This window comes from Homo sapiens, chromosome 7 (genome assembly GCF_000001405.40).
Source record: "Homo sapiens chromosome 7, GRCh38.p14 Primary Assembly".
Taxonomy (NCBI): domain Eukaryota; kingdom Metazoa; phylum Chordata; class Mammalia; order Primates; family Hominidae; genus Homo; species Homo sapiens.
In genome coordinates this window covers 76,628,049-76,642,905 of record NC_000007.14, presented here as the reverse complement: position 1 = coordinate 76,642,905, position 14,857 = coordinate 76,628,049, and the positions used below count along the sequence as shown (strand labels likewise).

General features: G+C 46.0%; 1 annotated feature.

Moving 5' to 3' along the window:
* Positions 10,650 to 10,855: a silencer, noted in NCBI's record as "fragment chr7:76261368-76261573 (GRCh37/hg19 assembly coordinates)". NCBI's record gives its function as "represses an EF-1alpha promoter that drives an FKBP-Casp9 reporter gene in an ReSE screen in phorbol 12-myristate 13-acetate-treated (for megakaryocytic differentiation) K562 erythroleukemia cells {active_cell/tissue: K562(+PMA)}" and the evidence as "EXISTENCE:reporter gene assay evidence [ECO:0000049][PMID:32094911]".

The following is a 14,857-nucleotide window of genomic DNA, read 5'->3' as shown; positions in this document are numbered from 1 at the left end:
TGTTCCTCCCATCTCGGCCTCCCACAGTGTTGGGATTACAGGCATGAGCCACCGCACCCAGCCCTGGAGGCCAGTTTGAAACCTCAGAGTATTCCACATTGCCGTTGAGCTCTCAGAGCTTTTGCTGTGTTGATCCTGGTTGTTTTCACACATGGGCACTTGGAGGGCATGGCCCAGGACTTCCTACACATATTTAACCCGTTTCCCATTTGGGAAAAAAAAAGTGCAGCTTGCTGCTAGTGCTCATTTAATTTTACATAAACACACTTTTGAGGCTGAAGTAAATCTGACTGATTCTCAATGCGAAAATAAAATATGAAAACTGGGTTTGGCCTTCTTCCAAGTGTACTTTCCTTCCCTTCCTTCCTTTCTTTACTGCTTTAAAGCTTTTTAATAAACTTTCACTCCTGTTCTAAAAGAAAAAAAATATATATCAACTGTTCTTGGAGTTATTATTAAACAGAACTTGTCTTTAATCCGAATGTAACAGAAATGTACATGACGTTATATTAGGATTAGAGAGGAGTATTCTGCGGTGGGTGGGACGGGGAACGGGAAATGGGTTGGAGAATCCTTGCTTCTAGCTCCTCACTGTCTTTGAGAGAGGATGGGGTGCCACCTTGTTACTGTGGTTCAGTCTTGTGCAGGTTGTGGATGGTCAGCAGGGCCCTTCCACACAGTCTTGCCAGTGCTTGGTGGAGAGGGGAGAGATGCCACCTCTGCTTGTGTTGGCCCAAGGTGGGGAGGGTCAACAGGTCTTTGTTCCACAGTGTCTACAGTATCTGGGGCAGGGGAAGGTGCAGCTTTTTTCAGGCTGTTTTCCTAGAGTAGGGTGTGTGTAGTCAAAAGGGCACTGTCCCGCAGGGCCGCCCTCTTCGCTGTCATTTGGCTCGAAAGATGAGGCTCCTTTTGTGGGGGTTGGGGGATGAAGGGGGCACTGGGATTTCCTGGTTGTAGACTCCGCTCTAACAGATAAGACAGGGTATATAGGAGGCCAAAGAACAAACCATCAAACCACCCTGGGAACTCACCACTGGGTCAGCCCTTCTCTTCTCTACCTTTCCAGAATTTGTTGGTTTGATTGATTGGATTGTTGCTTCATGTATTTATTTATTTATTTATTTATTTATTTATTTATTTATTTTTAATTGAGATAGTCTGGCTCTGTTGCCCAGGCTGGAGTGCAGTGGTGCAATCTTAGCTCAATACAGTCTCCACCTCCTGGGTTCAAGCAGTTCTCCTGCCTCAGCCTCCTGAGTAGCTGGGATTACAGGCGCCTGCCACCATGCCCAGCTCATGTTTGTATTAGCAGTAGAGGTCGGGTTTCACCATGTTGGCCAGGCTGGTCTCAAACTCCTGACCTCAGGTGATTCACCTGCCTCGGCCTCCCAGAGTGCTGGGATTACAGGCATGAGCCACTGTGCCCAGCTGCTTCATGTATTTTGAACAGGGGTTTTAGTTGTAATTAGAAGAGAAATGTAATGGGTGTGCTTATTCCATCTCCTATGGAACTGGAAACAACATTTGGCATTGAAAATTGTTGTCTTGATAACCTTCAGGGTGTTACTTCTCATTTTAGCGGCAATACATTTTGCTTCCGTGTGATGAAACATCCTACCCGTTTGCATGTTGATTGTGTCTCATGTCCCATCTCGCAACAGGCAGTAAAACCCCATCTCCAGCCCAAAGCACCTTGCTAAAGAGCCTGCACCGCAGCCACTGTGCCTTTGCGCTCTGGCTCGTGCGACCTCTCCAGATCTTCTTCCTCATTTCGTCTGTTCACTGGGGCCCTCTTCTCCCTGTGACTCGCCTCAGCCTTTTCACTCCTTGCTGGACATGGAGTAGGACTATTGGGAGGATGAAATAGACGAATGTGTGGCAAGCATGTAGGAGAGCCTGTGGCACAGAAGCAGCACTCGGTACATGGTGCTTGTTATTACATCCCTAGTTTTGGCATAGCCTCAGCCTCAAGTAAAAGATAACCCAAACTCCCACCAAAGTACAAGAGTCAGATTCCTGTTCACTTCTGTTTATAAATGAACTTCCTATTTTTTTAAGAGCAGGGTTGCACTCTGTCACCCAGGCTGGAGTGCAGTGGAGCGATCATACCTCACTGCAGCGTTGACTTCCTGGGTTCAAGGGATCCTCCTGCCTCAGCCTCCTGAGTAGCTGGGACTACAGGTTCACGCCACCATGCCCAGCTAGTTGTTGTTGTTGTTTTGGTACAGACGAGATCTCTGCTATGTTGCCCAGGCTAATCTTGAACTCTTGGGCTCAAGCAGTCCTCCCTCTTTGGCCTCCCAAAGTGCTGGGAGTACAGGCATGAGCCACTGCGCCTGGCCTGGATGAAGTTTTTCCTCATGCAGTACTCTGCACACCTTTAGTGAGTGCTCGCCACGCACCATATCCTATGTGAGGGATCAAAAGATAGGCGAGATACAGCCCATGTCTTCAAAGAGCCCACAGGCCAGAGTGGGAGAAATAGACACACAGCACAGTGCAGTAAACTGATAGGAATGCAATGAAAATAGACACGGTAGATATGCAGCACAGTGCAGTAAACTGATAGGAATGTAATGAAAATAGACACGGGCGAGCGGGGACCCCAAAGGGAGGGTGGCCATATGTTTGGGGCTGAGGACAGGTTCCCAGAGGTGGTGACAGTTGGGCTGAATCTTAAAAGATAAGTGGGTTTTCTGGCCCGGTGCGGTGGCTCGCACCTGTAATCCCAGCACTTTGGGAGGCCAAAGCGGGCGGATCATGAAGTCAGGAGATCGAGACCATCCTGGCCAACATGGTGAAACCCCATCTCCACTAAAATACACACACAAAATTAGCCGGGCATGGTGGTGCATGCCTGTAGTCCCAGCTACTTGGGAGACTGAGGCAGGGGAATCGCTTGAACCTGGGAGGCAGAAGTTGCAGTGAGCCGAGATCGCGCCACTGTACTCCAGCCTGGCGACAGAGCGAGACTCCATCTCAAAAAAAGGTCTAAGTGAGTTTTCCCAAGGTGCGTCAAGGCATTTCCCGCAGAAGCAGAATGAGCAAAACTTGAGAGCCACAGACCAGCACGGCGGGTAATTCAGTGTCCGTGTCATCAGTGGTACATGCTTACAGCCGTGTTGAAATTGTGTCTGGAGAAGCACATGAACCAGACTCTCCCTGATTTACAAGGCTCTTCGTCATCGGGTCCCTACTTAACTCTAATTTCATCTCTTGTCTTATCTATAATTTAGTCTGATATCATACATTAATTATATACACTGTACATTGATACACAGCATTTATTTGAAAGACAAACCTCTTGGATGTGACTCTGGAGACAAGACCAGCAGCTCGAGACCATTCAATCCAAGGTATAAAATGGAGGAAAATCAGCTCCATCATGGTCTGAATTGAGGATGAGGCAGAAGAGCAGAGAATAGCTGATGCCCAGGTGGCAGCAACTTCACTCCTTCCCTGTGGAGTTGCAGGGTCTCCCCACCTCCACTGCGTCGGGACATGCCGTGTGCCATCTCTTTATCCATAGCTGCCTCCGGCATCAGCAGAGAAAATCATGGGCAGATGGAGCTTTGGATTAGTTCTTTTTTCCAGTCTTCCTTTACTTTATCTGGATAAGATTGGGCAGATTGAATTTGATCTTCTATACTGGGGCCAGGGAGCAGGGTGGATCTAGACCATGCAGCTTTTCCCTACTGTCACCAGATTGGGAGCAGGGATTGGCTGCCATTGTCCTCTCCAGCCTCTGTGTTCCTGGGACACCGCTGACTGGAGGCTGCTCCTCTTCTAAGGGGGTCCGGCACAGAGCGCCACCCAGAGCACATGGCACCTTCTCTCTCCTCCTGCACCAGTCTCCTTGCCCTCTGTATTGCCATCATATTGAAGCAAACCATCCAACTCACCAGCCTCTCTCTGGAATCCAGTCTCATTGATTCCTCTCCCTGAAACTCTTCCTCAGTCTCCTTTTAGCCCCTCACATCCTCAGCCGAAGATCTCACTTCGTCCCAGAGGCCTTTGCTGACTGACCCCTCAGGTAGGCTAAATCCCCATCCTGCGCTTCCATGACAGCCTGTGGCAGATGCTATTTTCTGCAGGTGGCCACAGCCCTATCTCCCATCCCACACACTCCTCTCATAACATGACCTTGTCACTTCTTCCATCGCGTGGTCGGGGGTATGTCTCTTTTCCTTGAGCCTATGCACATCTTTGTGATTGCCCTGACCAATAAATAAAGTAGGACAGAAGCGACGCTATGAGATAGCCAGGCTGCACTGTAAAAATGTCATGCCTTTCTGCTGTGTTGTCATGGAATGCTTGCACTTAGAAGTAAGCTGCTGGACTGTGATGAAGCCCAAACCAGCCCAAATGGGGAGATTGCGAGGGGCCACATGGACAGGTTCCAGCCCACAGGTCAGTTGAAGTCCTGGCTGACAGCCAGTATCAGCTCCTGGTTTTGTGAATGAAGATGCCTCTAAATGATTCCAGCCCCCTCCCATTGATCACACTTAAGACTCCATGTCTTCCCAGCTGAGGCCCCACATGTCGTGTGGACCAGAGACAAGCCAGGCCTGTTGGAATCACAGAATCCCTGATGATAATGATTGTTTTTTGCCACTATGTTTTAGATTGGTTTCTTATGCAATTAGTAACTGAAACACTTTACTTCTTTATACTCATTAAGGAATGAGACTGTGTCTTTTTTTTTTTTTTTTTTTTTTTGAGTCCGAGTTTTGCTCTTGTTGCCCAGGCTGGAGTGCGATGGCATGATCTCGGCTCACCACAACCTCTGCCTCCCGGGTTCAAGCGATTCTCCTGCCTCAGCCTCCCAAGCAGCTGAGATTACAGGCATGCGCCACTATGCCCAGCTAATTTTGTATTTTTAGCAGAGTTGGGGTTTCTCCATGTTGGTTAGGCTGGTCTCAAACTCCGGACCTCAGGTGATCCGCCTGCCTCAGCCTCCCAAAGTGCTGAGATTATAGGCGTGAGCCACCACGCCTGGCCTGTATCTTTTTTTTTTTTTTTTTAAACTTTTTGTAGAGATAGGGTCTCTCTGTATTGCTGAGGATGGTCTTGAACTTCTGGCCTCAAGCGATCCTCCTACCTCAGCCTCCCAAAGTGCTGGGAGCACAGGTGTGAGCCACCATGCCTGGCCTGACACTGTCTCCAGTGTTTATTGGTGTTTCCTGTGTTGCACAAAGCAGGTGGTGGTGCACTGTCAATAGTGAGTTTGTGAGTAGAAGGTGTGGGTGTCACACAGTTGGTGTCTGTGCGCCTGGAAGCACACACCTGTTTCTGCTTCCAGAGTTGTCTCTGGCCTGCAGTTCTGTGCTTCCTAGCTTGATCCGTTCCTCTCCAGGAATCTCCTCTCCCTCCCCCCCCGACCCACCTGTTGGTGAGAGATGCAACTGACTGTTTCTGCCACACTTTTTACTTACAGGTGGTACCTGTATTATTCTCTCCACCTCTTCAGGGAAGAGGGTGAAGAGATGAGAGGCTAGGGGTTCCAAACACAAACTTGACCCATTTTACCATTTTGTTAGCAATAGTCTTGAGAGAATCAATACAAACTTTAGGTAGCTTGGTACTTTGCCCTTCAGGACAGTTCTTCCCTGGTAATGTTAGATTGTTGGGGTTAACCATTACTGTGCCATTACAGATGAGCTTCGGCTGCCCTCTAGTGGCAGCAGCAACCTGGATCTCGAACAAAGATCATTCTAGCATTGGGACCAGCTTTGTGTCATGAATACGTCATCAGTGCCTACCATATTACCTGACATCTATTCGGAGCTAATAACTAACTAATATTGATTAACAAACTAGCCAACATGCACTGTTTTTTTGTTTGTTTTTGAGATGAGTCTCACTCGCCTAGGCAAGTGGCACGATCTCGGCTCCTCCTCCGCCTCCCACCTCCCAGGTTCAAGTGATTCTTCTGCCTCATCCTCCCTAGTAGCTGGGATTACAGGTGTGCACCACTACACCCAGCTAAATTTTTTGTATTTTTAGTAGAGATGGGATTTCCCCATGTTGGCCAGGCTGGTCTTGAACTCCTGACCTCAGGTGATCCGCCTGCCTTGGCCTCCCAAAGCACTGGGATTACAGGTGTGAGCCACTGCACCCAGCCTTTTTGTTTTTTGAGGCGGACTCTCACTCTGTCACCCAGGCTGGAGTGCAGCAGCGCGATCTCAGCCTACTACAACCTCCGCCTCCTGGGTTCAAGAGATTCTCCTGCCTCAGCCTCCCAAGTAGCTGAGATTATAGGTGCCCACCACCATGCCAGGCTAATTTTTATATTTTTAGTAGAGTAATTCAGTAATTTTTGTATTTTTAGTCTTGAACTCCTGAGCTCAGGTGATCCACCTGCCTTGGCCTCCCAAAGTGCTGTGATTACAGACGTGAGCCATCGTGCCTGGCGCTTTGCCCACTTTTTGATGGGGTTAATTGGTTTTTTCTGGTAAATTTGTTTAAGTTCCTTGTAGTTTCTGGATCTACAAGAATATACAAGATTCTGGATCTGACCTTTGTCAGATGGGTAGATTGCAAAAATTTTCTCTCGTTCTGTAGGCTGCCTGTTCACTTGGATGCTAGTTTCTTTTGCTATGCAGAAGCTCTTTAGTTTAATTAGATCCCATTTGTCAATTTTGGCTTTTGTTGCAATTGCTTTTGGTGTTCTAGTCATGAAGACTTTGCCCATGCCTATGTCCTGAATGGTATTGCGTAGGTTTTCTTCTAGGATTTTTATGGTTTTGGATTTTACATTTAAGTCTTTAATCCATCTTGAGTTAATTTTTTATAAGGTGTTAAGGAAGGGGTCCAGTTTCAGTTTTCTGTATATGGCTAGCCAGTCTTCCCAGCACCATTAAATAGAGAATCCTTTCCCCATTGCTTGTTTTTGTCAGGTTTGTCGAAGATCAGATGGTTGTAGATGTGTGGTGTTATTTCTGAGGTCTCTGTTCTGTTCCATTGCTATATATCTGTTTTGGTACCAGTACCATGCTGTTTTGGTTACAGTAGCCTTGTAGTGTAGTTTGAAGTCAGGTAGCGTTATGCCTCCACCTTTGTTCTTTTTGCTTAGTATCGTCTTGGCTATATGGGCTCATTTTTGGTTTCATATGAAATTTAAAGTAGTTTTTTCTAATTCTGTGAAGACAGTCAGTAGCTTGTTGGGAATAGCATTGAATCTGTAAATTACTTTGGGTAGTATAGCCATTTTCACAATATTGATTCTTCCTATCCATGAGCATGGAATGTGTTTCCATTTGTTTGTGTACTCTCTTATTTCCTTGAGCAGTGGTTTGTAGTTCTCCTTGAAGAGGTCCTTCACGATTTATAGAGTTTTTAAAAAGTCTTTGTCTGCTAAGTCCAATATCTGGGCTTCCTAAGGGCTGATTTCCATCAATTTATTTTGTTACTTTGAATACGTTCCCTTGTCTTTGCATGATTTGCGATTGTCATTGAAACACGGACATTTGAATATTGCAAGGTAGTAACTCTGGCATTTAGATGATTCTTCTAATTTTATTTGCTATGTATTTGTGAGTGTGTCTGTTTTTAATCATTGAAGGCTGTAGTAGTACATACGTTTAGTGACTTCCAAACTATTTTTGCAAAGATTTATCATTTTCATGTGTGGTCACTGAAGTCTCTGATTCTTTTAGCATGTGTTCAGCTCACATTTTGGTAAGAGATTTCCTTGAATACTAGGAGCTAAAAATGGAAGAAAGTACCTCTCCCAGTCTTTGAAGTTTGCCTTTGCACCACAGCTTTCCTTCAGCACTTAGCTAGGCCTGCACTGACCCTCGTGATCAGGCCAAGGTGAAAACTTAGGTCTTTGTCAGGTGTTTCTGAGCAAGCATCCTGCCCTGGGCAAAGCCCGTGTAACAACTGAGTGCTTGTGACTGCCCTGCTTTCCCAGAGGAATTCTCCCCAGCTTTCCTGCTTTCTCAGAGGAATTCTCCCCAGCTTTCCTGCTTTCTCAGAGGAATTCTCCCCAGCTTTCCTGCTTTCTCAGAGGAATTCTCCCCAGCTTTCCTGCTTTCTCAGAGGAATTCTCCCCAGCTTTCCTGCTTTCTCAGAGGAATTCTCCCCAGCTTTCCTTCTCGGATTTAGGAAGTCTCTATTAGTTTGCTCGGGCTACCATAGCAAAATGCCACAGACCATGGCTTCAACAGCTGGAAGTTATTTTCTCACAATTCTAGAGGCCAGAAGTCAAAGATCAAGGTGCCAGCAGGGCTGACTTCTTCAGAGTGTTCTCTCATTGGCTTGCAGATAGCTGCCTTCTTGCTGTGTCTTCATGTGACCTTTTCTCTGCACGTCTCTGGCATTTCTGCTTGTTTCTTTTGTGTTTTTTTGAGATGGAGTCATGCTCTGTCTCCAGGCTAGAGTGCAGTGGCACGATCTCGGCTCACTCAACCTCCACCTCCCGGGTTCAAGCGATTCTCCTGCCTCAGCCTCCCTAATAGCTGGGATTACAGGCACCTGCCACCACGCCTGGCTAATTTTTGTATTTTTAGTAGAGACGGGCCTGGCCATGTTGGCCAGGCTGGTCTCGAACTCCTAACTTCAGGCGATCTGCCTGCCTCAGCCTCCCAAAGTGCTGGGATTATAGGCATAAGCCACCGTGCCTGGCCATCTCTGGCATTTCTTCCTGTTCTTTAAGGACACCAGAGAATGGAACTCAGCTCTTTCCCCTACTGTTGCCGGGCATGGTAGCTCACACCTGTAATCCCAGAACTTTGGGAGTCTGCGGGTGGGTGGATCACGAGGTCAGGAGATCGAGACCATCCTGGCTAACACGGTGAAACCCTGTCTCTATTAAAAAATACAAAAAAATTAGCCGGGCGTGGCAGCGGGCGCCTATAGTCTCAGCTACTCGGGAGGCTGAGGCAGGAGAATGGCATGAACCTGGGAGGTGGAGCTTGCAGTGAGCTGAGATTGTGCCACTGCACTCCAGCCTGGGTGACAGAGTGAGACTCAGTCTCAAAAAAAAAAAAAAAAAGAGAGAGAACAGTGGAGTGTTGTGAGTCTCAACTGTCAGGTTTTGCCCCAGTCCTGTGTAGATTGTTTGCCTTGCAATGTTTTTGAGCAATGCTCACCACTTTTCCAGCCTCAGTGAGTTTCCAGCAAATAGACAGGCGTCTACATCATTCCCTCAGTAGCCCTCAGACGTGCGATAGCAGATTTACCAGTAATTTGAAGGTAAGGTCCGCCCCGTCCCTGTGGAATGCCAAGAGGCCCCACACTGCGAATGCAGCCTTCTGTCTTCAAGACTCCCGTAGAAGCCAGGTGCGGTGGCTCACGCCTGCAGTCCCAGCTGCTTGGAAGGCTGAGGTGAGAGAATCACTTGAGCCCAGGAGTTCAAGGGTAGAGTGAGCCACAATCACGCCACTGCATTCCAGCCTGGGCAACAGAGCAAGATCCTGTCTCTTAAAAAACATTGCCACAAAGGTTTTCTACCTTTCCTTTTTAAGTTGCCTTTTTCTTGATTCAGCATTCATTTGGTTGTTGTAAGGCTTTGGCTGTTTTTCAGAGTTGTTTCTAATAATTATTTGGTTTTTTTTTTTTTGAGACAGAGTTTCACTCTTGTTGCCCAGGCTGGAGTGCAGTGGCGCCATCTCGGCTCACTGCAACCTCCGCCTCCCCGTTCAAGCGATTCTCCTGCCTCACCCTCCCGAGTAGCTGGGATTACAGGCATGTGCCACCACACTTGGCTAATTTTGTATTTTTAGTAGAGATGGGGTTTCACCATGTTGGTCAGTCTGGTCTCAAACTCCTGACCTCAGGTGATCCACCTGCCTCGGCCTCCCAAAGTGCTGGGATTATAGGTGTGAACCACTGCGCCTGGCCTTTTTTTTTTTTTTTTTTTTTCTGTTTCTGTTGGGTGATGGGAGCTTGGAGCTGTCTACTCTGCCCTTTTGCTGATATCAGTCCTCAATTATATTTTAAAGAGATTTAAATAATAAGGAAAAACAGGCACATATAAATATATGTAGTTACCATTTTCAATGCCTTTCATTCCTTTGTATAGATCCCGATTTCCATTTGGTATTTTTCTTCTGCCTGAAGGACATCCGCTAACATTTCTTACTGTGTTTGTTGGTGATGAATTCTTTCAGCTTTTTATTTATTTGTTTGAGACAGAGTCTCGCTCTGTTACCCAGGCTGGAATGCAGTGGCACAATTATGGCTCACTGGAGCCTCGACCTCCCAGGCTCAAGGAAACCCCCCAGGCTCAAGTGAACCTCCCAGCTCAGCCTCCCGAGTAACTGAGACTCCAGGCATGTGCCACTACGCTTAGCTAATTTTTGTGTTCTTTTTGTTTGTTTGGTTGGTTTTTTTTTTTTTTTTTTTTTGAGACGGAGTCTAGCTCTGTCGCCCAGGCTGGAGTGCAGTGGCGCGATCTCGGCTCCCTGCAAGCTCCACCTCCTGGGTTCACACCATTCTCCTGCCTCAGCCTCCCGAGCAGCTGGGACTACAGGCGCCTGCCACCACGCCTGGCTATTTTTTTTGTATTTTTAGTAGAGACGGGGTTTCACCGTGTTAGCCAGGATGGTCTCGATCTCCTGACCTCGTGATCTGCCTGCCTCGGCCTCCCAAAGTGCTGGGATTACAGGCGTGAGCCACCGCTCCCGGCCTAATTTTTGTTTTTTTTTTAGAGACAGGGTCTCACTATGTTGCCCAGGCTGGTCTCGAACTCTGGGGCTCGAGCGATCTGCCCAGCTCAGCCTCTCAAAGTGTCTGCCAGCTTTTATGTGTCTGAAAATATGTTTATTTAACTTTCTTAAAATATATTTTCATTGGGCATAAAATTCTAGGTTTGCAGTTTTTGCCTTCAGCACTTTAAAGATCAAGTTGCACTGCTGTTGTCTCTCACTTGCACTATTTCTGGCAAGAAATTTGGTATCATTCTTATCTTTGTTCCTGTGTAAAATAACATGTACTATTTTCCCAGCTGCCTTCAGGATTTGATCTATATCATTGGTTTTGAGCAATTTGATTATGTGATTTGTTACAGTTTTCTTTGTATTTCTTGTACTTGACATTGAGCTTCAGGTCTGTGGGTTTATATTTTTCATTACATTTGGAAAATTTTTGGCCATTATTTCTTCTAATATTTTTCCATGTCTCAACTTTGTAAACATATGGGATATAGTTAAAATTAATGTTAATGTCTTTCTCTGTTCATTTTAATATGTGTCAGTTTGGGGTTGGTTTGGATCAAAATAAGGATTGATTGGTTGTTATTATGGGCTGTGTTTTCTTGCTTATTTATATGCCTAGTAATAGGATGCCAGGATGCCAGACATTGGAGATTTTACCTTGTTGAGTAATGGTCATTTTTTTTTGTTTTTTTTTGTTTTTTTTTTGAGACGGAGTCTCGCTCTGTTGCCCAGGCTGGAGTGCAGTGGCGCCATATCGGCTAACTGCAAGCTCCGCCTCCCGGGTTCACGCCATTCTCTTGCCTCAGCCTCCCGAGTAGCTGGGACTACAGGCGCCCGCCACCATGCCTGGCTAATTTTTTGTATTTTAATAGAGATGGCGTTTCACCGTGGTAGCCAGGATGGTCTCGATCTCCTGACCTCATGATCCACCCACCTCGGCCCCCCCAAAGTGCTGGGATTACAGGCGTGAGCCACCGCGCCCAGCCAATTTTTTATTCCTATATACATTTTCTTGAGCTTTGTTTTGGGATGTATTTAAGATCATTGAAAAGTTGGATCCTTTCAGGTCTTGTTTTGATGATTCATTAGGTGGGTCCAAAGCAATGCTCAATCTAAGACTGATTCTTTCCCATTCCTGGGGTGCTTGAGTACTCCACACAGAGCCCTATAAATTGTGAGTTTTTCCAGTCTGATTTGTGGCGACCCCCATCTCTACAAAAAAATAAAGAGGCTGGGCACAGTGGCTCATGCCTATAATCCCAGTACTTTGAGAGGCTGAGGCAGGCAGATCACCTGAGGTCAGCAGTTTGAGACCAGCCTGTCCAACATGGTGAAACCCAGTCTCTACTAAAAATACAAAAATGTAGCCAGGTGTGGTGGCGGGTGCCTATAATCCCAGCTACTCCACTGAGGCTGAGGCAGGAGAATCGCTTGAACCTGGGAGGCAGAGGTTGCAGTGAGCTGAGATCGCACCACTACACTCCAACCTGGGCGACAAGAGCAACACGCCATCTCAAAAAATAAAAATAAGTAAATAAATAAAAGACCATCTCATCCAGAAATGCCTTTATAGATACACCCATAAATAAATGTTTAACCAAGTATCTGTGCACCCCATGGTCCCTTCAAGTTGACACATGAAATTACCCATCACTCCAGCCTTCAGCCGTGGGTTTGCGTCATGCATAGATTTCTAGAACTCCCTCTTTGCATAGTGCCCTCCTTTCTTTTTTCTGCCCCATTTCTCTGCCATTTCAGCTGTCTCAGCCTGATCTCTGCCTCCTCATCTCTGCCTCTTCAGCCCAGCGGGATCTCCCTACTGTGCTCAGACTCCAGCTCTCTGCACTGCAGTTGGGAAACGATCCCCAGGTAGAGGAACTAGGTGACTTTGGGGCTCATCTCACAAGTTTCCTTACACTTAGGGATCAGTCTTTTGCTTCCTGTTGTCCTCTGCCTGAAAGTAGTTGCCAAGTTGTACTGTTTTATATATCCACCACAGCATGAGTTAAACCAAAGTCTGGATCAGCAGACTGCCAGATTTTTTTTTAACAAATTTATTAATCAATACATTTTGTCCATGTCTACAGTTGTTTATGGTGGGAGGACTAACCTGCAGCTGGAAGGATTAATTTTCAGCTGCTTTATAGTATTTTATTATATGAATTATACCAGTTTGCCCATCCTTGTGTTGATAGACATTACCCATGAAGTGTGTTCACATTGTCTGTGATACAAATAATGCTTCAGTGACTATCTACCCAGAATGGGATTGCGGGTTTATAGGATACATACTTCTTCACCCTTATTTTTTACTAGTTATTGCCAAATTGCTTTCCAAATTGTACTGTTTCATATATCCACAACGGCATGAGTTCTGTTTGTTTCACATCCATGCTAAGACTTGATCTTGTTAAATTAATTTTTCTAGTGTATAAATGAGTGCAAAATATTGTTAGTCTTTCCTAGATTACTAGTGAGGTTAAATGTATATGTGTATGTACGTATATGCACATATGTATATATTATTAGGTATTTGTGTTTCCCATTCGATAGCTTTTTTATATCAATTGTCCTTTTTAAAAGTTGGGTCATCTTTTTGTTATTGATTCTTTGGAGTTCTTTATAAATTCTACTTATGAATCCTCTTTTGGTTATATGTGTTACGTTGTTTTTCCCAGTCTTGGCTTGTCTTTTAGATGTGTATCTTGTCTTTTCCCATACAGAAGTGTTAACTTTTTGTGTGTGTGTGATCTCACTCTGTTGCCCAGGCTGGAGTGCAGTGGTGCGATCTCAGCTCAGTGCAACCTCTGCCTTCTGGGTTCAAGCGATTCTCCAGCCTCAGCCTCCTGAGTAGTACTACAGGCACATGCCACCACACCAGGCAAATTTTTGTGTTTTTTTTTAGTAGAGACTGGGTTTTACCATGTTGCCTAGGCTGGTCTCGAACTCCTGAGCTCAAAGCAATCCACCAGCCTCGCCTCCAAATGTGCTAGATTATGTGTAAGCCATCACTCCCGGCCCAGAAGTACTAACTTTTAATGTAGTCATATTTATCTATATTTCCTACATGACTTGTGCCCTTTGTGTATTCATCTCTTTACCTCTAAACACAGGAGTGCCCCGAGGGCTCAGGCTATGGACCTCTCTATTTACATTAATTCTCAGTCATCTTGCTTGGTTTCAGGACATCTGTACCCTGACGGCTTTTATGTGTAGCTCCTCCACTTAACTCCAGCCACACACAATAGTTCAAAGAGCCCCTACTGACCTAGACACTATGTTTCTTCTTCCCCTATTACCCAGGTTTCTTGAGTAGGGAGTCTGCAGTCACTGCCTCCATTTCTTCACCTTCCAGTCACTGTTCAACCCAGGGCAGCCTGGCTTTTGTCCCACTAGTCTACTGATACTGAGATTTTTTTCTTAAGCAACACAGTCCCCCCTCCGCCCCCCCCCCTTTTTTTTCAAATTAAGTCTTATGTGAAATCACAGTATATTAAATAGAAGAATTACTTTGGCACTGGGTTGGGGAGGATCTGGAACCCAAACTGCACCTTCTTCTCATCTCTCTGAGTTGCCCCAGAGGCATCTATACCTTTCCAACTTTTCTATCCCCAAAACACCCTAATCTCCAGCGATACTGAACAATTCCATCTCTGGACTTCTGCACAGTGCTCCTTCATCTTCCTTGAACCTGCCAGACCTCTCAGCTCCAGGAGCACTTCCCTGCCTTCCTTCCCCTTTATCACAACTTTTTTTTTTTTTTTTTTTTTTTTGAGATGGACTCGCTCTGTCGTCCAGGCTGGAGTGTGCAGTGGCATGATCTCGGCTCACTGCAACCTCCACCTCCCGGACTCAAGCAATTCTCCTGTCTCAGCCTCCCGAGTAGCTGGGACTACAGGCACGCGCCACCATGCCCAGCTAATTTTTGTATTTTTAGTAGAGACGGGGTTTCACCATATTGGTCAGGCCGGTCTTGAACTCCTGACCTCAGGTGATCCGCCCGCCTCCGCCTTCGAAGTGCTGGGAATACAGGCATGAGCCACTGCGTCTGGCCTCTTTTTTTGTTCCCGTTATCACACTGATAACATTGAATTGCAATCTTTTACTTACACATCTTCCTTACTAAACAGAGCTTATAAAGATCAGAGATCCTCTATTTTCCCCCTTAATCTCTTTAATGTATATAAACAATGGAA